A 22152-nucleotide genomic window follows, 5' to 3' on the forward strand; every position below is an offset into this window, starting at 1 on the left:
CACCTACATTAGGTATTTCTCCTAATGTTATCTCTCCCCTTGCCCCCCACCCCCCGACAGGCCCCAGTGTGTGATGTTCCCCTCCCTGTGTCCATGTGTTCTCATTGTTCAACTCCCACTTATGAGTGAGAACATGCAGTGTTTGGTTTTCTGATCTTGTGATAGCTTGCTGAGAATGATGGTTTCCAGCTTCATCCATGTCCCTGCAAAGGACATGAACTCATTCTTTTTTGTGGCTGCATAGTATTCCATGGTGTATATGTGCCACAGTTTCTTAATCCAGTCTATCATTGATGGACATTTGGGTTGGTTCCAAGTCTTTGCTATTGTGAATAGTGCTGCAATAAACATACGTGTGCATGTGTCTTTATCATAGAATGATTTATAATCCTTTGGGTATATGCCCAGTAATGGGATTGCTGGGTCAAATGGTAATTCTAGTTCTAGATCCTTGAGAAATTGCCACACTGTTTTCCACAATGGTTGAACTAATTTACACTCCACCAACAGTGTAAAAGCATTCCTATTTTTCCACAACCTCTCCAGCATCTGTTGTTTCCTGACTTTTTAATGATCACCATCCTAACTGGTGTGAGATGTTATCTCATTGTGGTTTTGATTTGCATTTCTCTAATGACCAGTGATGATGAGTATTTTTTCATAGGTCTGTTGGCTGCATAAATGTCTGCAAGAAGGAAATTTTTATACTTAGAATCTTGCAGCAATCAAAACTGTGAGTGACAGTTACCTCGTTAGTTGGGATTCTGGGGTCACATACCTTCTTTTAGAAATATCCTGTCATGGAAACAACATGCTGGAGAGGATGTGGAGAAATAGGAACACTTTTACACTGTTGGTGGGAGTGTAAATTAGTTCAACCATTGTGGAAGACAGTGTGGCGATTCCTCAAGGATCTAGAACTAAAATACGATTTGACCCAGCAATCCCATTACTGGGTATATATGCAAAGGATTATAAATCATTCTACTATAAAGACACATGCACATGTATGTTTATTGCAGCACTATTCACAGTAGCAAAGACTTGAGACCAACCCAAATGCCCATCAATGATAGACTGGATAAAGAAAATGTGGCACATATACACCATGGAATACTGTGCAGCCATAAAAAAGAATGAGTTCATGTCCTTTTCAGGGACATGGATGAAGCTGGAAACCATTATTCTCAGCAAACTAATGCAGGAACAGAAAACCAAACACCACATGTTCTCACTCATAGGTGGGAGCTGAAAAATGAGAACACATGGACACAGGGAGGGGAACATCACACACTGGGGCCTGTCAGGGGGTGGGGGGCAAGGGGAGGGATAGCATTAGGAGAAATACCTAATGTAGATGATGGGTTGATGGGTGCAGTAAACCACCATGGCACATGCATACCTATGTAACAAACCTGTAGATTCTGCACATGTATCCCAGAACTTAAAGTATAATAAAAAAAGAAATATGTTGTCATATTATATGAAAATGTTATTACTTTGAGCAAGTGTCTTAATGTATCTCAGCTGTCTCTTAGATAAAATGGGAATAATAACAGTGCTCATTTCATAGGGCTGCCAGGAGACTTAAATGATAGCAACATAAAGTGCCTAGCAGAAGTCTGATAGGTAGTCATACTCAATAAAATGCTAATATGAATGTTTTCAAATGAAGAGAAAGATAGAACAATTAGCAGAACTAAATACAGTTCATTCTTATTATCCGAGACTGTTATCATGTCCTTCTTCATAGATTTACAGATTTCTTAAAAATATGTTTCCATTACAGCTCTGTGTCGGAAACCAGAATTAGTGAATGGAAGGTTGTCTGTGGATAAGGATCAGTATGTTGAGCCTGAAAATGTCACCATCCAATGTGATTCTGGCTATGGTGTGGTTGGTCCCCAAAGTATCACTTGCTCTGGGAACAGAACCTGGTACCCAGAGGTGCCCAAGTGTGAGTGGGTAAGTGGCACAATTCAAGGAAGTTCTGTGCTGTCGACCCCTAAAAATGGTGGCATCCCCCAGAGCTCTGTACCACTCAACAATGGTGAAATCTGACTTGTCAGGATTCATTTCTGAGCCACTCCCACTCAAAGAAACTCTTTTTGTCTTGAAGCATTCTGGTAAGTTAGGGGTGGCAAGTTCTCCTGTTCTCACTTGAGAACAGGAAAAACTGAGCCCTTACAGAGCAGGGTTTCATAGACCCAGTAGTACTGATTTCTAGCCTAACTTTTGCTAAGCTATATAATATATTGTTGTTCCATTTCTGGATGGTCAGCAAAAACAGCCTCTGTTACCATGGGGGCCTTCTGGACAGCTGTCTCAGAACAGATCCATGTTCCCCTGGGGAAGACTGTGGTGGGACCCAAGTGATTTCTTGTTTTCCCAGCCTCAACCACCAGTCTGAGGTTGGTCTTGGTTCAATCCTGTAGTCCTTCCACTGTCAGGATCCACCCTCCTTTATGATTAGAAGAGAAGCTTCTCAATCACACCCACCACTTATATCTTTTAGGAGACCCCCGAAGGCTGTGAACAAGTGCTCACAGGCAAAAGACTCATGCAGTGTCTCCCAAACCCAGAGGATGTGAAAATGGCCCTGGAGGTATATAAGCTGTCTCTGGAAATTGAACAACTGGAACTACAGAGAGACAGCGCAAGACAATCCACTTTGGATAAAGAACTATAATTTTTCTCAAAAGAAGGAGGAAAAGGTGTCTTGCTGGCTTGCCTCTTGCAATTCAATACAGATCAGTTTAGCAAATCTACTGTCAATTTGGCAGTGATATTCATCATAATAAATATCTAGAAATGATAATTTGCTAAAGTTTAGTGCTTTGAGATTGTGAAATTATTAATCATCCTCTGTGTGGCTCATGTTTTTGCTTTTCAACACACAAAGCACAAATTTTTTTTCGATTAAAAATGTATGTATAAAAAACTATTTTGTCTTTGTGGTCATTTAGGACTCTGTGAAATAAGCGTCCTTAAAAAACCCATAATATAAAGTTAATACATTAATACATTTGTTTTACTGTTTGGGCCACAAATAATAGGTACTTGGGTTTTCTTTTTTTTTTTTTTTTTTTTGAGACAGACTCTCACTCCGTTGCCCAGGTTGGACTGCAGTGGCACAATCTTGGCTCACTGCAACCTCCACCTCCCAGGTTCACACAATTCTCCTGCCTTAGCCTCCTGAGTAGCTGGGATTACAGGTGTGTGCCATCATGCCCAGCTAATTTTTGTATTTTTAGTAGAGACGGGGTTTCACCACTTTGGCCAGGTTGGTCTCGAACTCCTGACCTCAAGTGATCTGCCCACCTTGGCCTCCCAAAGTGCTGGGATTACCGGTGTGAGCCACCATGCCTGGCCATACTTGGGTTCTTATCGTGGACAGACTGCCTTTACTCCACAGTTTCATGTGTGCACAGCACTCATGTCCTCCCTGGTGAGGTTAAATGTCAACACACCCTCAAAGCCTCCCCCATTCTCCCGCTCTGGGGGAGTCACGCCTTCCCCTGAGCCCCTGTGCACGTTGTCTCTTTGACTCATGCCACATCTCCACTATTGCCTTCCATGAAGGAAGTTTGCTTTTGTGTCTGACTTCCTCATTCCAACCCCAGAGAAGGAACTTCGAAAGACAGATGAAGATGAAGCCCACATGTCAGTCCTCTGCATATTCTCAATTCTTCTATCTGATTTGGTCACCATTTTCCTTAATATTAAGTTAAAACAGGTTGAGCAACTGCCCCACACAGGAAGAGATATCCCATATCAAACTTCCTTATATTTCTGGGTACTCTAGGAACTTTTATTCCTTTAAGTCATCACTTTTTCTGACTCTTGCTTCCTGTGCAGTCTCTTTCTCACTCTTATCTCAGCTCCTCTGGCTGTCTTTTCTCTCCCTGCACACAGAACTCTGGCCTTTTGAACATTGGCCTTTTTGGCTTAATTTTCCCAAAATTATGTGAAGGAAATGGCATTATGGCAGGCTTTCACTGAACTTTAGATGTAACAGAGGAGGTGGTGCTGTTGGAGAAACCCACTGCTATAGTTTGAGTGTTTGTACCCTCCAAACTCATGTTGAAAGTAAATCCCCAATGTGGAACTATTGAAAGGTGGGGTTTTTAAGAGGTGACTGGTTCATGGGGGTTCTGTCCTGATGAATGGATTAAACCATTCATAGATGAATATTTTGTGTGCTAATGAGAAGAATGTGTTTTCGCAGCTGTTATCACAGAAGTGGGACTGGTGGCTTTATAAGAAGAGGAAGAGAGACCTGAGTTAGTATGCTCAGCCCCCTTGCCATGTAATGCCCTGTGCCACCTTGGGCCCCTGCAAAGTCCCCACCAAGAAGGTCCTCACCAGATGCTGAGCCGTGGCCTTGGATTTCCCAGCCTTGAGAATTGTAAAAAATAATTTTTTTTGTTTATAAATTACCCAGTTTCAGGTATTCTGTTATAAGCAACAGAAAATAGACTAAGACATCCACTTAACATCAAACGTATCTATCCATGATCTTAAAAGCCATTACCTACTAGGCTACTAGGCATTTCTTGGTTTAATGTTTATTTTTGAATTTCCCCTGATACAAGAATTTGTGAGCAACTAGTTTCCCTGAAAGGTGGTTCCAGAAAACACTGTAAGTGAGTGGGCAGTAAGATGGAGAAGGGAAGAAAGCCCATTAGGGAACATTGTTGAGGGGGTTATTTCATTGCCAACTGGGACTCAATCATGCTGGAAGCATCTGAGAGCATGTAGAACCCAACTCTGAGTTGTCCTCCTCAGGAAAAAGACCTGGGTATTTTTCTGCCTATTCTCTTCTCTCACTGGTGAAGTTTTGCTCCAGTAGCAATGGCTCCCAGACCCAAGGGATCTACACTGTTGGCTGGCTGAGCAGGCTCCAAGGATGGGGCTCACCATCAGTCAGAGAGACATGGGTAGCCAATGACACCTATGGGACCATTTGCACTAACCTCTAGAGTAGGTCAAGGCCATATGGCCAGGATACAGATGAACTCTTCTACAGCTGCCTTTTCTGTATGGTTCCATCTGTTGACTAAGCACAATGGCATCAGACAGTCTCTACTGGCTTACAGAAATATCACTAACTTTTTTGTATTAATGTTGAATCTTGCAACTTTACTGAATTCATTTATCAATTCTAACAGTTTTTTATGGAGTCTTTATGTTTTTCTAAATATAAGATAGTGTCATCTACCAACAGGGACATTTTGACTTCTTCCTTTCCAATCTGAATGCCCTTTTATCGCCTTTTGCTTGTCTAATTGCTCAGACTAGGATTTCCAGTACTATGTTGAATAAAAGTGGTGAAACTTGGCATCTTTGTTTTGTTCTAGATCTTAGAAGAAAGGCTTTCAACTTTTCCCCATTTAGTATGGTATTAGCTATGGGTTTGTGACTTAATGGCCTTTTTTGTTTTTAGGTACTTGGTATAATTTTGATTTCTAAAAATTTGCCGTGACTTGTTTTATGGCCTAACATAATCCTGGAGAATATTTCATGTGGTAATGAGAAAATGTGTTTCTGCAGCTGTTAGATGAAATGTTCCATAAATATCAATTTGTTCCATTTGGTATAGTGTGTAGTGTAACTCCGAAGTTTGTTTGTCAATTTACTGTATGGATTATCTGTTTATTGCTGAAAGTGGGGTGTTCAAATCTTCTAGTGTTATTCTATTGCAGTCAATCTCTCTCTTTAAGTCTATTAATATTTGCTTTATATATTTAGGTGCTCTGGTGTGGAGGATATATACATACACACATACATACACAAACACAATTGTCATATCCCCTTGCCATATTGACTTCTTTATCATTACATTTATTACAAAATAATCTTCTTTTAAAAAATCGTTTTTGATTTGAAGTCTATTTTATCTAAGCATATCTACTCCTGCTTTTTTTGGGTTGTTTCGCATTGGTTACTTTCTTCATCCTTTCACCTTTAGTGTATGCATGTCTTTATAGGTGAAATGAGCTTCTTGAGGACAGCATATAGCTGAGTCTTGTTTTTTAAAATCCATTCTGCCACTCTATGTCTTTTAATAGGATAATTTAACCCATTTACACTCAAGATTATAACTGATAGCTAAAGATGTACTATTATCATTTTGTTGCTTATTTTGTTTTTTTTTTTTTTGAGTCTTTCTTTGTTCCTCCCTTACTCTTTTCCTTCATAGTTAAGTCTTTGTCTCTAGTAGTATCTTTTGATTTCATGCTATTTATTTATTTTTAATTTATTTTTAAATTTTATTTTATTTTAAGTTCTGGGTTACATGTGCAGGACATGCAAGTTTGTTACACATGTAAATGTGTGCCATGGTGGTTTGCTGCACCTATCAACCCATCACCTAGGTATTTTTTTTTCACTGCTAAAATATTTTATTTTAAAATGTACCACAGTGAATGGATGTATCCATACTGGTTTTTATAAATGTACACACGCACATCCATATATTCGACAAAGTATATATATGTACTGGCTAAAGACCTATCCAAAAGAGGAAATATTTCTAGAAAGTTCATGTGTTTATACTTCATTTGACAATTAAAACTTACTTATTTGAACTGAAGTTTCAGTTGCTTAGCAATGACTAATAATACCAATGCCTGTCAATAATGACAACTAAATTGAGAACTGTAAATTTCACTGCTGTGCCTTGGGTCAAAATTTTCAATGATGGAATCCTAAATAAGTAACAGTTATTCCTATAATGGGGTATATATTCAGAAGGAATAAATATCTGCCACTATTACCAAAAGACTGTTCTCTGTAGAGCTCAAAAAAGTATTATGCCACAATACATCATTTGTATTTAAAAAGGATCTCTTGTTTAGATGCCACTGCAGATTCTGCTTTTACTAAACAGAAAGGCAGCACCCCATTTCTTTCTTGTAAAGGAGGGAAGTCTTTTATAAAAAACTCTTTGAAGAAGTTTTGATAGTTACGTTCAGAGTCAAACACAGCAGCACTTTATTAACAAGGACAGAGTAATATAATCACAAGGAAATACTTGTAAGTCTAAATTAAATGATATCTTGGACAGCATAAAATGAATAATAACAACGGCAGGCATCTCAATATGTCTGTCTCACAGCTGTTCAATGTCAAAGTAATTTGTAAGTGAGGAAAGACAAGAGCAACATTTACATCACAAATTGACTGTAAAATACTTCATTACATTGAGAAAGGTAATCAATGGTCAAAATCCATAACCAGAAGGAGATACCATTTGAGTATCTATCAATGGGCCAAACAGACCTGTTAGATTTTAATATTGCCTGGTATGGAACTCAGATACTGATTTCCTCTCTATGTAGGAAGCCAATGTTCATGTTCTTGATAATAGTCCTTAATCTTTCTGATTGAGGCAGTCCAAACCCATCTGACCTCAGAACACTAGGTCTAAGAGTCAACTTCTTACATTGATATATTTTCCTTGAGTTCTTTCATGGTGCTGTATCAGCATGTTACTATAATCTGAAAATGATATGGGGCACAAAGGAGCTATATATATATCTGAAATTATATATATATATGAAAAGTATCCCATATTCCAGTATCACATGACAAAAAATTTATGGTTAAATTATTTAAGACATTTACTTTATTTTTCTTGTGGCCATCCATTTAATTAAGTGAAGAACATCAGTGTATTAAGAAGGTCCCTCTTTATCACATGATATTTCTAAGCAGATATTTAGGAATGCTCAGAAGATTCCACTTTCAGTTGCCTAAGGCCTCCTAAGACATAATTTAAAGTGAGACTTGAACAGAAACAAGTATCTTCTGACTCTAGCTGAAATCGTAGAAATAGTTTCTGTTTAAATCCTGGGAAACCTTAGATAAGGTATGTGAAACTGAAAAAAGATCGAATCAGCACACACAGATAAAGGATACAACAGATACCAAGATGGGTAAATGCCCAATTATTTTCAGTCCTCATAATCTGTACAAAGTTATGAGGCAACCAGTAGGCCATATCTCACTAGGCAGCCTTTGAGGAAGATGTTTCCCCATTTGAAACACAAGAAATTATGAAAATACGGAGATGAAGAGGGAGCAGTTCTGTGTTTCTTGCTGTGTTACCTTTATTATATTCTTAGTGTCACTGAGACTAGTTTAAAAACAGCCTGCAACAAGAATATTCTCATCACCAACCACCTTTTCCACCTTTCTTCTTTTTCTGTTGCTGCTTCTTTTTTGTTGCTGGAGCCCCTGCAGGTTTCTGACCCATCACCTAGATATTAAGCCCTGTATGCATTAGCTATTTATCCTGGTGCTCTCCCTCCCCCTGCCGCCTAACAGGCCCCAGCGTGTGTTGTTCCCCTCCCTGTGTCCATGTGTATGTGTTCTCATTGTGTAGCTCCCACTTATAAGTGAGAACATGTGGTGTTTGGTTTTCTGTTCCTGTGTTGGTTTGCTGAGGATAATGGCTTCCAGCTCCATCCATGTCCCTGCAAAGGACATGATCTCATTCCTTATTATGGTTGCATAGTATTCCATGGTGTATATGTACCACATTTTATTTATCCAGTCTATCATCGATGGGCATTTGGGTTGATTCCATGTCTTTGCTATTGTAAGTAGTGCTGCAATGAACATACACATGCATGTATTTTTATAACAGAATGATTTATATTCCTCTGGGTATATACTCAGTAATGAGATGGTTGTGTCAAATGGTATTTCTGGTTCTAGGTCTTTGAGGAATCACCACACTATCTTCCACAGTGGTTGACATTTATTTTTTAATGTATCTACTATAAGTTTTTGTGTTGTGGTTTCCCTAAGGTTTATAAAAAATTTTATAGTCATAACAGGTTATTTTAAACTGACAATTTAACGTCGATCACAAAGAAAAGAATGATAGCAAAAACAAACTCTTCTTTAATATCACTCCTTCCCAGATTTTGATGTCTCTATTTCCATCTTTTTATATTGCCTGTCTCTATTGTTGCAGTTATTATCTGTAATAGTTTGTTTCATAGTCTTCATGCTAAAGATATAAGTGGTTGAGTTTCTACAGTTATATTATTCTAAATTTGTCTGTAAACTTACTTTTACCAATATGTTTTATACCTCCAGATGTTTTCTTCTAATACGTTAGTGTTCTTTTCTTTCAGACTGAAGAGTTCTCTTTAACATTTCTCTTAAAACAAATCTGGTCTTGATGAATTCCCTCAAATTTTGTTTGTCCAGGTAAGTCTTTATCTCTCATTCATATTTGAAGTTAGCTTTGCTGGGTACTAATATTTGTGTTGGACTTTTTTCTTTAGTACTTTGAATATATCCTTCCACTCTCTCTTGGCCTGCAGAGTTTCTGCTGAGAAATCTGAAAGTTGTATTGGGGCTCTGTTTAATGTGACATATTTCTTTTCTCTTGCTGTTTTCAGTATTCTTTCTAGGTCTGACATTTGATAATTTCATTATGCTGTACCTTGGGGAAGAATTCCTCTTTGGGTTGAAGTGGATTGGTGACCTCTGAGCTCCATTCATAGATGAGCTCTGAGCTCCATGTACCTGAATTCTACAATCTTTCTCCAGATATGGGGATTTTCAACCATTATTTTCTTAAATATTCTTTCTAGGCCTTTTTTGTCTCTTGTCTCCTTGCAATCTCCTATTATGCAGAGGTTTGTTTGATAGAGTCTCATAATTCTCATAGGCCTTTTTCACTGCATTTTATTCTTTTTCCTTTTTGCCCTCTGATTGGTTAATTTCATATGTTTTGTCTTTGAGCTTGCTGAATCTTTTTTTTTTTTTTTCCTGTCACTCAGGCTAGAGTGCAATGGTGCAACCATAGGTCACCGTAACCTTGAACCCCAGAGCTTAAACCACTCTCCCATCTCAGCCTCCTGAGGAGCTAGGACTACAGGCATGCACTACCATGCCTGACTTTTTTAAGAGACAAGGAGTCTTATTATATTGCCCAGGTTGGTCTCAAACTCCTGGTCTCAAGCAATCCTCTTACCTTGGCCTCCCAAAGTGCTGGGATTATAGGCATAAGGCACTGTGTTAGGGCCCAGGCTTGCTGATTCTTTCCTTTGTTTGATCAGGTCTGCTGCTGAAGTTTTCTGTTGGGTTTTTCAGTTCAGTTATTGCATTCTTTATTTCTAGAATTTTGATTTGGTTTTTAAAAGTTGTTCCTAGGCTGGGCATGGTGGCTTATGCCTGTAATCCCAGTGCTTTGAGAGGACAAAGGGAGAGGATGGCTTGAGCCCAGGAGTTTGAGACCAGCCTGAGCAATATAGGGAGACCCTGTCTCCACAAAAAAATTAAAAATTAGCCAGGCATTCTGGCTTGTGCCTGTAGCAGTCACTTGGGAGGCTGAGGCTGAAGGATCACTTGAGACCAGAAATTCAAGATGGCATTGAGCTATGATCATACCACTGCACTCCAAGCTGGGTGAAAAAGTGAGCCCTCCATCTCTAAAAAACAAACATCAAATAAAAATTGTTCTTATTTCTTTGTCAAATTTCTTATTTTGTTTCTGGATTGTTTTATAAATTTTATTTAATTTTCTATTGATATTTTTTGTGATTTCCTGAATTTTTAAAAGAGGGTTATTATTAATTATTTCTCAGGCAGCTCACAGATCTTTAATTCTTCAGGGTCTATTACCAGAGCTTTGTTGGTTTTTTTCCCTGATTTTTTTTCAGTCTTGTGTCTTTACATTGATGCCTGTTCATTCGAAGAGATGGCCACCTCTTCCAACTTTTGCAGGTGTTCTTTGGTGATGTTAGACTTTTATTACTTAACATTAGAACTTTATTTGCTGGCCTGTAGTTGCTTCCCATTCTGGAAAGGATTTATATTGAGCACCAGAACTTAAACACTTCCCTGGAACTAAATCACCACCCTTTCATTTTTTCCCAATCTGGGGAAGACTTATTGTGAGTACCAGAACTTATAGCTCGCACAGGAACTTAAACACAGACCTGCAGTGGTTTCCAGGTCTGGGGAAGACTTAAGAGAGCACCAGAACTTCATCACTGACCTTTCAGTTGCTTCCAGGTCAGGGGAAAGTTCCATGTAAGCATCCGGGCCGTGTGGGAAATCTGACCAGGGACTCAGGCCTTCCCATGGGTTGTGTCCCATGAAGCACTATGGCACTATCCAGTCTCCTCTGTGTGATGCCCAGCTGATTTAAATGCAGAGTAGCCACCAAGATCCACATGCCATTCCCCGTGATAAGCACCTTTTCCCCCCACTTGTCTTCAATTCACCCCAGGTGGTTCAGTCCTCCTGGCATTCCCAGTGCTTCCTGTGGGACAGGACTGCCATGGGCTTCCCATGAAAATTCCCAGACCAGTGGGGAGATAGAATGTCCACTTCCAGTTCCCTCCTTCCATCTTGGAAACTGTGGGTCCAGGGAAGTTCTCTGTGAGTGGCGGTTATGCCAGCTTAGGGGAGAGGGTGGCACAGTCTAAAATGGCCATTTCTGTTACCAGTTGTGGTTTTGTTGTAGGGGCTTTCTCCTCTTCTCTCTCAGGTTCTGGTGAATTCAAGGTGGTGTTCTTGTCTTTGAATAGTTACTAGCTGTACTTTTGTGGGGAGGAGTGGTGCTGAGGATCTTCTATTCCACCAACCATAAATGAACTAATTTCATAAATAAAATTAAAATTTCCACTATCCAGAAAGTCACTTTCCACACCATTTTATGAGTGGATAAGAATGGGTAATTATGTATGTGTATATTTTCATGTTATTAACATGCTTAAACAAAGATCCACCCCAAGTCTCAGTCTTTAAGAGTACAGAAAAAACAGTTGAGGTTTTTAAATATTAGCCCTTTATTTTTCCTTTCTTACCATTCTTTACTAATATAAAGGAGTAGTTTTGACTTATTTTCACATAGATTTAAATTATCCTTCCATTCTTTAATTTATCCTTTTATTTAAATCCCTTTTAAAAGTTATTTAAAATAAATACATATATATTCTAACAAATATTAAAACAATAAAGGTAGGTATAGAGAGCTTACCTCCATTATATTACCCATTTTTCTCTTTCCATTTTAAATTTAAATTTCACATTTAAGATTTTAACTTTGTACATAATTCTATAAATTATAAACCATGTTAGAAACGCATCTATTTCTTGACCTATCAACTTTATTTATCTTTAAAATTAAGATACATTCACGTTTAACAAATTAGCATATTATCTGGTGCACACAGTTCCCTTTCCCTACTCCCAGAGAACCACTGTCATATCTTGCAACATTTTTTTCCTGATATTTATGTTCATATTTTAAGGCAATGTTTTTTCTATTTTTCTTAAATTATTCATTTTAGCTGTTATCTATTGATTACAGATATATATATTTAATCATCTTCTAATATATCACCTGCTTTTTCTTTTTGTTTCAATATAATTATTGCATAATTTTGGTTACATCAATAATAACTTTTACATGTTATGACTATGCAGTATACCAAATAGCGTTTTGTGAGTATGTTTCATTGCTTTTGTTTTAATACGTTGTCTATAATGTCCTTTTCCAGTAATGTTTGTTTGCTTGCTTGTTTTGTTTTCTATATTTCTATTTACATTTCCTCCTAAATGCACCAAGAGATTTTTCAGTCTACCAAATCTATTCCAAATGTTGAGATATCATATGCTTTATCAATTCCTTTCTTATTCTTGTGTGTCTTTCTCCCAAAGTCCTAGAAACAGACCTTGAAACAAGAATTAAAATGTAGGTAATTTGTTTAGGAGGTGCAGGAAACACCAGGAGAGAAAGGCAGTGAGATATGGAAGGAAAGTCAACCAAAAAGGATATGTTAGCAAGCTAGTTAGGATGACCACAGCCTCATCCCAAGGGACACTGATAAAGATGGTGAACTCGCACCTCAGAGTAATCATAGCTAAGGGTAGGGAGCTGGGATATTTATACATACTTCCATCAGTTGTTAATTGAGATCTGCTTCTGCAAGGTGTTATCTTCAGTTTATCCTGCTAATTGCAAATCAGAGTAGCCTTCGATGGTTGTGGAAAAAGCCTGGGTAAAAGGAAACAGATATAGGCAGTTGGAAGTTGTTTAGAGTGTGCTAAAGTGGCAGGGCGCTGGTGATACTGACAGGACATTGACAGGGGCTGCTACACACTACAACAAGCAATGGATGTTCTCATATCTGTAGACTCGCCTTCCTGCCCTGTCTTTACTTTGTTGACTCATGTTCTCTTTCTTATTTCCTCATTTTATTGGAGCACATCCTCCAGGAACTTCCTAAGAAATGATGTATAGGAAGTAAGCTATTGAGTGAACTCCTATATTCTTGAAACTGTCATTATTTTCACACTTGATTGATAGTTTGGCTGGGTGTAGTAGGGTGGGTAAAGTGTAATTTTTCCTCTCATTTTAAAGGAATTTGTCTACTGTTTTAATATATTCCATACAGCTATTGAGAAGTCAAAAGACATCCTGATTTCTGACCTGACTTTTCCTCAACGCTGGAAGCTTTTAGGATACAATCTTTACTCATGGTGTTCTAAAATATCATGTTGGTATACTTTACTGTATGATTTATTTTTATTTATTATGCTAATTCTTGATGGGCTCTTTCACACTATAAACTCATGTTCTTATTATTCTGAGAAATTTTCTTAGAAAATGTTTTCAGTAACATTTCTTCACTGTTTTCTCTTTTCATGGAAACCAAAATCATTTGATATTGGACCTCCTTGTTAATTATTGGATTTAGTTATGTTTTCTGCCCTCATTCTTACCTTCAATTCTCCAAACATTTTTTTGGAGATTTCCTTGACTTCATTTTTTTTCTGAATTTTTCAATTTCTTTTAAGAACACTTGCTAACATTTTTCAAAGAATTTTTAAAAATTGTTTTCTGTTTTTAAAAAAATAGTAATCCTGTTCTTTCCACCTAGATTCATTATTGTCTCTATGGAGCTATTTTGCAATAGAGAAGTATGATTTTGCTCCCTGCAAACCTCTGTTAATGATCATTGGTCAGCAGTTGTTCTTTAAGAGTAAGGCCTAAATAATCTCATTTAAAGTTCTGTGTATGTGAACAAATTTTGCTGGCAGCAGGCTTACTTGCAGCCTGATGGGACAGTGAGGCATTTTAAATTAACTTGTGGCTATAACAGAGAGTGTTAATTGTTTCCCTGTATTAACCTCTATTTTCACTTTAAGTAATAGAACCACTTCTACCATTTCAGCAGGGCACAGTGTTGCTCAACTAGTCCCTCCCTTGGAGCAACCTCCCAATAAATGCAACATGCTTGTCACCTTCTTAAAAAGGAAGCTTCTTGCTCTCCTCTTCCTCTTCCATACTCTTGAGGGCTGAAATGCTGATAGGGTGCCTGAGAGCCAGCTTCTGCCTTTTTGAGAAGGACAGCATCCTAGGGGATATTAAAGCAACAAGGAGAAAAGGCCCTAGTCCCTAGTTGACCATGTTGAGCAGTACTGCCTTCCATCCTGACTGGGTTTTTGCCTCCGAACTGTTTTTGAAAGAAAAATAAAGTTCTACCTGCTCTGAGCCATTGAGTTTTTGGTTGTCCTATCTCATGACAAGTATAGGACAATGAATATCCAAATACTGATGTTTATAGGTGTCTTCTTTGTTGCTGTCCAGTTGCTCCAGAGAAGGAACTTCTGTGGTTTTTTTTGCCTGTTTACAACTTGAGTTTACAACTTAAATTTCTCCTGTGCAAGATGAGGCAATTACTGCTTCTGTACTTTTTAAAATTCTGTTTCCCCCTCTATTCCTCAGTCTATTTCCATCACCACATTACTTTTGCACTATCAACATCGAGAGAACTTTCTTTCCTGAAATGATTGCTCCTATCCCTAAAAGACACAGCAGTTGCGTTTGTCTCCTTGCTTTAAGTTAAATGTTTTTCTTTACACTATGACTAACTAGTTCATATATTTCCTTCAGAAGTTCACCCACAGTGGTGCTGAATAATTACACCAGGAGTAAAAAATGTATAGGTTATTTGGAATGTGAATCTGGTGCTAAAGTTTAGTTGAGCCTGAGAAAAGTCAACTACGAAACCCCTGCTGCCAAATATTCTTCTTTGACCACAAGAAAATAAATTAAAACGAAGTGAATTCTTTCTATGTCAGGTTTAATAATTGTGGGGAGAAAGCAATTGGAAAGCTAGAGGCTCGGCTCTGCCCTAAAAAAGTTATAACTAAAGAGAGACTATTTTGATTCCATTACCATTTTATATTTATGGGCACTATAAAAGGGGGATGCTATTTTCTAATATTTCTCTGAATTTAGGAATTACCCTTCCTAGTGCTGTTTCTGCCAATTTTAACCAATAAGTGACCTTCTGATACCAAGTCTATTTGCATATTTAGGGATATAGTGAATTCTCCTTTATTTAAAAAATAATACTCTTTATTCAAAATGTAAATACATTGAATAGATTATGTAATTAAAAATTATTTCCATAAAATTATTTTCCCTCAGAAACTTTATATGCCATCTATCTCAATACCAAGTAGAAGCTTACTACAAGTTTTAGATTATCCCAAAATGTCTGAGTCTCAGCCTGGGTCCAATCAGGAGACAGAAACCATACAATGATTTAAATAGAGGAAATTTAATATACAGAATTACTAAACTCTGATAAAAAAGTAATTATAAAATTTAAGAAAACTCTGTATGGTATTCTAGGGCTGAGGCAAGGTACTCAAGGGAGACAAACTGCAATGAGGTGCCCCTTCCCAAGGCTGGGGTTTAGACTTCATTAAAAAAGGTATAGTAGCAATCCACTGGATGCCAGAGAAGTTCACTAGTTGCCTGGACAAGAGCTGGTCTGTGGTCATTGGGCAAGTAGAAACCAAATATCCAGAATAGAGGCAGAATATAGGTGAGCTCCAGCTGGTGGCTACATGCATAAGCCTGCAGATAGGGTTGGGGGTCACTGGAACATGAGCTATCTGTGAGGGGAACCACAGATAGTGGCCAGATGGGCAGGTGTGCAGAAAAGTGACCCCAGTAGCAAGTCTTCAAGGCAGAGAAAGCACATAGGCAAGTAGGTGGCCAGGTGTGAGGGCATGAAGAGGGAGTAGGGGTGCTGTTGTGGCAAGAGTCTTGGAGAAGTATCCGTCAGAAGAACCACGGGGAGGTGATAGCCAGCCTGGTCCACGACTGCAAGATTGCCAGGGGATAGTGCATTCTGGGAAGAGGGCCTGGGGCAGACCACCCCCATATATCTTACTAACCCATCATGTAGCAGCAGGAAACAGCAGGAGAATCCTTGCTTCCTGCAATGTCCCTCAAGCATCCTCTAATGAGAATATTAAACATCATTCTCACTGTAAAGGATTAATACTTAAGGGAATTTCATCCATTATCACAGAGCTGTAATAAACGGTTAGTTTGGATGTGAGAGGAAATGCACTGATAACTGGCACGGCACGTATAACTTAATGATGCTAAAATAAAAATGCAAAGTCAAAATACTCAAGGATTGCTTACAGCGAGACTTATGGAAGAGGAAGTACAGGAAGAGTAGCAGCAAATTCACTAAAATTTAGACTTATAAGCAATTTTGTTGAGTTTATTTTCAGTCAAGGAAAAATGATTATATATTTCCTACTAGTTGATAAAAAGAAACAGTTCTGAAAGAGGAGCTTATTTTCACTAATTAAAATAGAAAAACTTAAAATAGAAAATTAAAATTTATCCCATGGGCCATTTAATAAGAAACAGTGAATAACATAATTAGGACAATGCCAATAACATGGACAATAGCAAAGTTGTTTTTCAAATAGCCAAATATACCAGCCTTTAATAAGAACTGAGTTGATCTATTAAAACATAAATTAAGACTGATGCTTTTACAAGAAGTTAAGCAAGCTACTGATATCCAGGTACAGCTACTAAAGCTTTGTTTTGAATCAAAGATAGACCCTGGAATACATAGAAAAATGAATGGATTTCGTCTCTGTTAGACTAGTGATTCCTGCATTTGCTGAACATGAGAATAACTTCAGGCATTTTAAAAATAATTCAGGCATTGAAGCCTCATCAGATATATTTGATTAGGGGATTGGGAATCTGCATTTTAGCAAACACAGATATTTTGGGGGAGCTGCCTCACTCAAGGTGGCAGTCTTTCTCTGGGACACCCACATTTATTGATTGGTTGGTGCAGTGGTACAAAAGCCCAGCTTTACTTAATCCTGGACACCTTTGAAGGGCCAGTCCAACTTTAAGGATGCTCTGAAGTCTCTGATGCAACTGCTTCAAAGTTTTGCTTTTCTGTCTTCCTTCTCATTCTTCCTTTACAGACAATGTTCCTGTAAGAACGCCTCAATAAACCACTCTGCATGCACATTTATATTTCTTCTGTTTTGATTTACTTGTTTGTGTTGTTTCCTCATGTGTTTGACAATTTTATTTTTAAATGATTTGTAAAGAAGGCTTTTATATTTAAGACATGAAATTTTAATTGTTATATCTGCTTTAATTATTTAATTGAATTTTTTTTTTTGAGATAGGGTCTCGCTCTGTCATCCAGGCTGGAGTGTGGTGGTGTTATCATGGCTCACTGCAGCCATGACCTCCTGGGCGCAAGTGATCTTCCTATCTCAGCCTTCTGAGTAGCTGAGACCACAGGCATGCACAACCATGCCCAGCTAATATTTTTTATTTTTACTTTTGTAGAGACAGGGTCAGGATCTCCCTATGTTGCCCAGGCTGGTCTCGAACTCCTGGGCTTACAGGATTCACCCTGTTGGGCTTTCCAAAGTGTTGAGATTACAGGCATGAGCCACTGTACCTGGCCTTAAAATTTTATTATTCTTTCATTTACTTAATAGTGTTTGATATATTGGAGATTTAAAAAATTGTATTCAAATTAAATATTTTTCCATTTAATTATTTCCACCCTCACTCTAATGCTTAAAAACATTACGCCTATTGGGAGGCTGAAGCGGGTGGATTGCCTGAACTCAGGAGTTCGAGACTATCCTGGGCAACACAGAGAAATCCTGTCTCTACTAAAATACAAAAAATTAGCTGGGCATGGTGGCATGCACCTGTAGTCCCAGCTACTCGGGAGGCTGAGGCAGGAGAATCACTTGAACCCGGGAGGTAGAGGTTGCAGTGAGCTGAGATCACCACTGCACTCCAGCCTGGGTGACAGAGCCAGACTCCATCTCCAAAACAAAAACAAAAACAAAAATAAAAACAAAAAACATTGCAACCAAAAAGTATATGACTCTCTATGGACATTTAGTGCTCCCAATGGACTTATTTAAAAACAGGAAATCAATAGTTAAAAGCAATCCTCAAGGATTGTCCAGAGTTAGTTCTGTGAGGAGGAAGTACCAGAAGATAGAACAGGGACAAAATGAGAATCAAAGCAGACTGGGGATTCTTACCCCTACTTCCCAAGTTTGTTTTTTAGTTAAAAAGAAAATACTGAAAAATTTTATCAGCAAATGTATAACTGCCCTCATTTCTCAATTGCAAAACTGTGAGAGGGTCTGATATAGGTGTGTGCTTAGTTTTAACCAAGTCCCACTTCTGAATCCAAATCTTTCAACAGTGTTTGAACACTAAAATAGTATGAATAGACATGTTATGATCCAGCATGTAGAAAACTATGGTCCAATACTGTACAGTATTTCCTATTTTATCCAGCTACTCAGTTTCTTTCCCCCTCCAAGATACATCCCTAATTTATTCCAGAAAGATTTTACTTAACATGCCAGTCCTCTCAGTCTGTCACCACTTCTTCTTACAGAACTTGTTTCCTCATTCCTACCTCATCTTGCCCTATTCCTCCTTTTCAAATGCCATCATTCTCTTGATTTGTAGCAATCACCTTTTTTCTGTTATTTATAGTTTTATAAAATAAGAATGCATCCCTAAATAATCTAGCTGAGTGTTTGTTACTTCTTTTTATATATGAGATCATGCAGTATATATTATATTTTGACTGATTTCTTTTGCTTACATTTGTGAGATTTATGTTGTGTCTAGTTGTTATTTATTCATTTTTATTGCTATATATTACACCATTCTGTGACTGTACTATAATTTATGTATCCATTTTATTAAGGATACAATTTAGATGGCTTTAGTTCTTTGGTGATTACATAACTATGAATATTCCTATACATGTCTTTTGGTGTACACGCTGGTTGTATAATGTACATATTCAACTTTCATAGACAAATTTCCAGAATCTAGATTTATATCCTGGCTATGCTGCTTAAAAGTTATACAATCAGTAAAATACAATTTAGATCTTTTGAAATAATCCAGTCAAGGGGAAAAATAAATAAATACTAGTAAAAAAGAATGAAGAAAGCCTACATGTGTTTTCATGAAAGTACTAAACTCACTAGGAAGGTAAATTTACAAATCACACTTAGAATACTCCAGTGATGTTATGGTGCGGTGTAAATCTCTCAATCCTCTAGTATAAATGTTTAAAGTCAAAATAGTCAAAACGACAACAGCTACAATTAGTGGCTAAGGAACACAGAATAGATAAAGAAGTAAATTAGGGCAAGAAAAATATAAATTGCGAGAAAGGCAGAAAAAGTCTAGAGTATTTTTATGCAACCAAAGTTAAGTTGATATCAGCTAAAAATGGTCAATATAACTATGGGACTGTTTATGTTTGCTGCATGGTTAACTACAAAGAAAGAAATTACAGCAGGCACACAGATAAGAAAGAGAAAGGGAACAAGTTAAACACCACAGAAAACCACCAACAAGAGAGGAAGCAACAAAAAATGAAGAAAGAAACAGAGAATCTATATAACAACCAAAGCAATTAGTAAAATGGCAAGAGTCCTTACCTATCAACAGTAACCTTGAATGTAAATAAGTTAATTTTTTATATTGAAAGATACATAGTGGCTAAATGAAGAAAACTACAAGATCCAATGACGTGCTACCTATAAGAGACTCATTTCATGGTTAAAGTCAAATATAGACTCAAATTGAAGGGATGGAAAAAGATATTCCAAGCAAACAAAAACCTAAAGCAAACAGGAGTAGCCATACTTGTATATAATAGACTTGAAGTTAAAAAAAACTGTAAAAAGGTCATTATATAAAGATAAAAAGATCAACAAGAGTAAATAAGAATTATAAATACATATGCACCTAATCCTAGAGCACCCATATATATAAGCCAGATATTGTTAGACCTAAAGAGAGAGATGGAATGCAATACAATAATAGTAGGCAACATCAACATCTCACTTTCAGCAATGGACACATTATTTAGAAAAAAAAAATCAACCCAGAAACATCAGACTTAAAGTGCACCATAGACCAAATGGATCTAACTGACCTTTACAGAATATTCCACACAACAGCTACAGAATACACATTCTCAACTGCACATGGAACATTCTCTAGGATATATCAGATGTTAGGCCACAGAACAAGTCTTGAAACATTTAGGAAGGAAGAGATCATATCAAATAGGTTTTCTGATCACAATAATGTGAAACTTGAAATTAACAACAAGAAAAACTTTGGAAACTTTACAGATACATGAAAGTTAAATGACATGTCCCTAAACAACCAATTGGCCAAAAAGAAATTAAAAGGAAAACTAAAAGATTTTTTGAGACAAATGGGAATGACAATACATTATACCCAAACCTATAGGACACAGCAAAACTAGTTCTAATTGGGATATTTATAGTAATAAACACCTACATAAAAAAGAAGAGAGATTTCTAATAAACACCCCAAGGAACTAGACAAACAAGAACTAACTAAACCTAAAATTGGTATAAGGAAGAAAATAATAAAGCTCAGAGCAGAAATAAATGAAAAAGACATGAAAAAAAAGAGGCCGGGCGTGGTGACTCACGCTTGTGATCCCAGCACTTTGGGAGGCCAAGGCAGGCGGATCACGAGGTCAAGAGATCGAGACCATTCTGGCTAACACAGTGAAACCCCATCTCTACTAAAAATACAAAAAATTGGCCGGACGTGGTGGCAGGTGCCTGTAGGCCCAGTTACTCAGGAGGCTGAGGCAGGAGAATGGCGTGAACCTGGGAGGTGGAGCTTGCAGTGAGTGGAGATCGTGCCACTGCACTCCAGCCTGGGCAACAGAGCAAGATTCCGTCTAAAAAAAAAAAAAAAATTGAAAGAGCAATAAAATGAAGTTGGGATTTTGAAAATATAAACAAAAATGACAAACATTTAGCTAGACTAAGAGAAAAAGAGAGAATACTGAAATAAATAAAACAGAGATTAAAAAGGAGACATTACTACTAATACCACAGAAATAGAAAGTACTATAAGATACTATTATAAACAACCATATGCCAACAAATTTGATAAGATAGAAGACATGGATAAATTCCTGGATACATACAACCTACCAAGATCAAGTTATGAAGAAATAGAACATCTGAACAGACCAATTAAAAGTTGAATTGAAGAGAAAATTCAATCAGTAATAAAAAGTTTTCCATCAAATAAAAGCCTAGGACCTTATGTCTTCGTTGCTGAATTCTACCAAACATTTAAAAAAGAACTAATACCAATTCCTCTCAAACTATTCCAGAAAAATAGAAGAGGAGGGAATACTTACAAACTCATTTTGCAAAGCTAGCATTACTTTGATTCTAAAACTGGACAAGAACACAAAGAAAAAAGAAAACTATAGGCTGATACCCCTGATAAGCATCGATGCAAAGATTCATAACAAGATACCAGCAAACCAAATCCAAGAGCACATTAAAAAAATTATTCATTATGATGAAGTGGAATTCATCCCAGGGATCCATGGATGGTTTATCATACTCAGATCAATAAATGTGACACACTACATTAACAGAAAGAAAGAAACATGATACAATCATTTCAATAGGTGCAGAAAAAGAATGTGACAAATTTCACATTCCTTCATGACAAAAACTCTCAACAAATTAGTATAGAAGGTATGCACCTCAATACAATAAAGGACATATATAAAAAACTCATAGCTAACATCATACTGAATGGAAAAGCTTCATATACAAATGGACCAATGGAACAGAAGAGAGAGCCCAGAAATAAACTTACTCACCAAAAGCCAACTGATTTTTGAAACAGGTGAGAACACATACTGGAGAAAAGACAGTCTTCAATAAATGGTGCTGGGAAAATTGGATATT

General features: G+C 37.3%; 1 protein-coding gene and 1 long non-coding RNA gene across 10 annotated transcripts in view; one reads left to right on the top strand and one right to left on the bottom strand.

The window, feature by feature from the left end:
* C4BPA (complement component 4 binding protein alpha) overlaps nt 1-2944 on the top strand; it is a 40740-nt gene extending 37796 nt beyond the window's left edge. For all 3 annotated transcript variants that reach the window (XM_005273252.5, XM_005273251.3, NM_000715.4), the window contains exons 11-12: nt 1790-1965; nt 2516-2944. In XM_005273252.5, coding sequence (XP_005273309.1) covers nt 1790-1965; nt 2516-2689 — 350 coding nt within the window. In that variant the 3' untranslated portion in view covers nt 2690-2944. The remainder of the gene's footprint in view (nt 1-1789; nt 1966-2515) is intronic.
* The window catches only part of LOC107985251 (uncharacterized), a 195120-nt gene that overhangs the window by 15019 nt on the left and 157949 nt on the right, over nt 1-22152 (bottom strand). For 4 of the 7 annotated variants that reach the window (XR_007066837.1, XR_007066840.1, XR_007066839.1 and 1 more), the window contains one exon: nt 12930-13030. The exons of 1 other annotated variant lie outside the window; for it this stretch is intronic. This is a non-coding gene — a long non-coding RNA (uncharacterized LOC107985251). Of the gene's footprint in view, nt 1-4976; nt 5060-12929; nt 13031-14280; nt 17476-22152 lie in introns of those variants that run through there. 2 more of the 7 variants (XR_007066843.1, XR_001738422.2) reach the window with 2 other exon arrangements.

The sequence above is a fragment of the Homo sapiens genome, chromosome 1 (genome assembly GCF_000001405.40).
Source record: "Homo sapiens chromosome 1, GRCh38.p14 Primary Assembly".
Classification (NCBI taxonomy): Eukaryota; Metazoa; Chordata; class Mammalia; order Primates; family Hominidae; genus Homo; species Homo sapiens.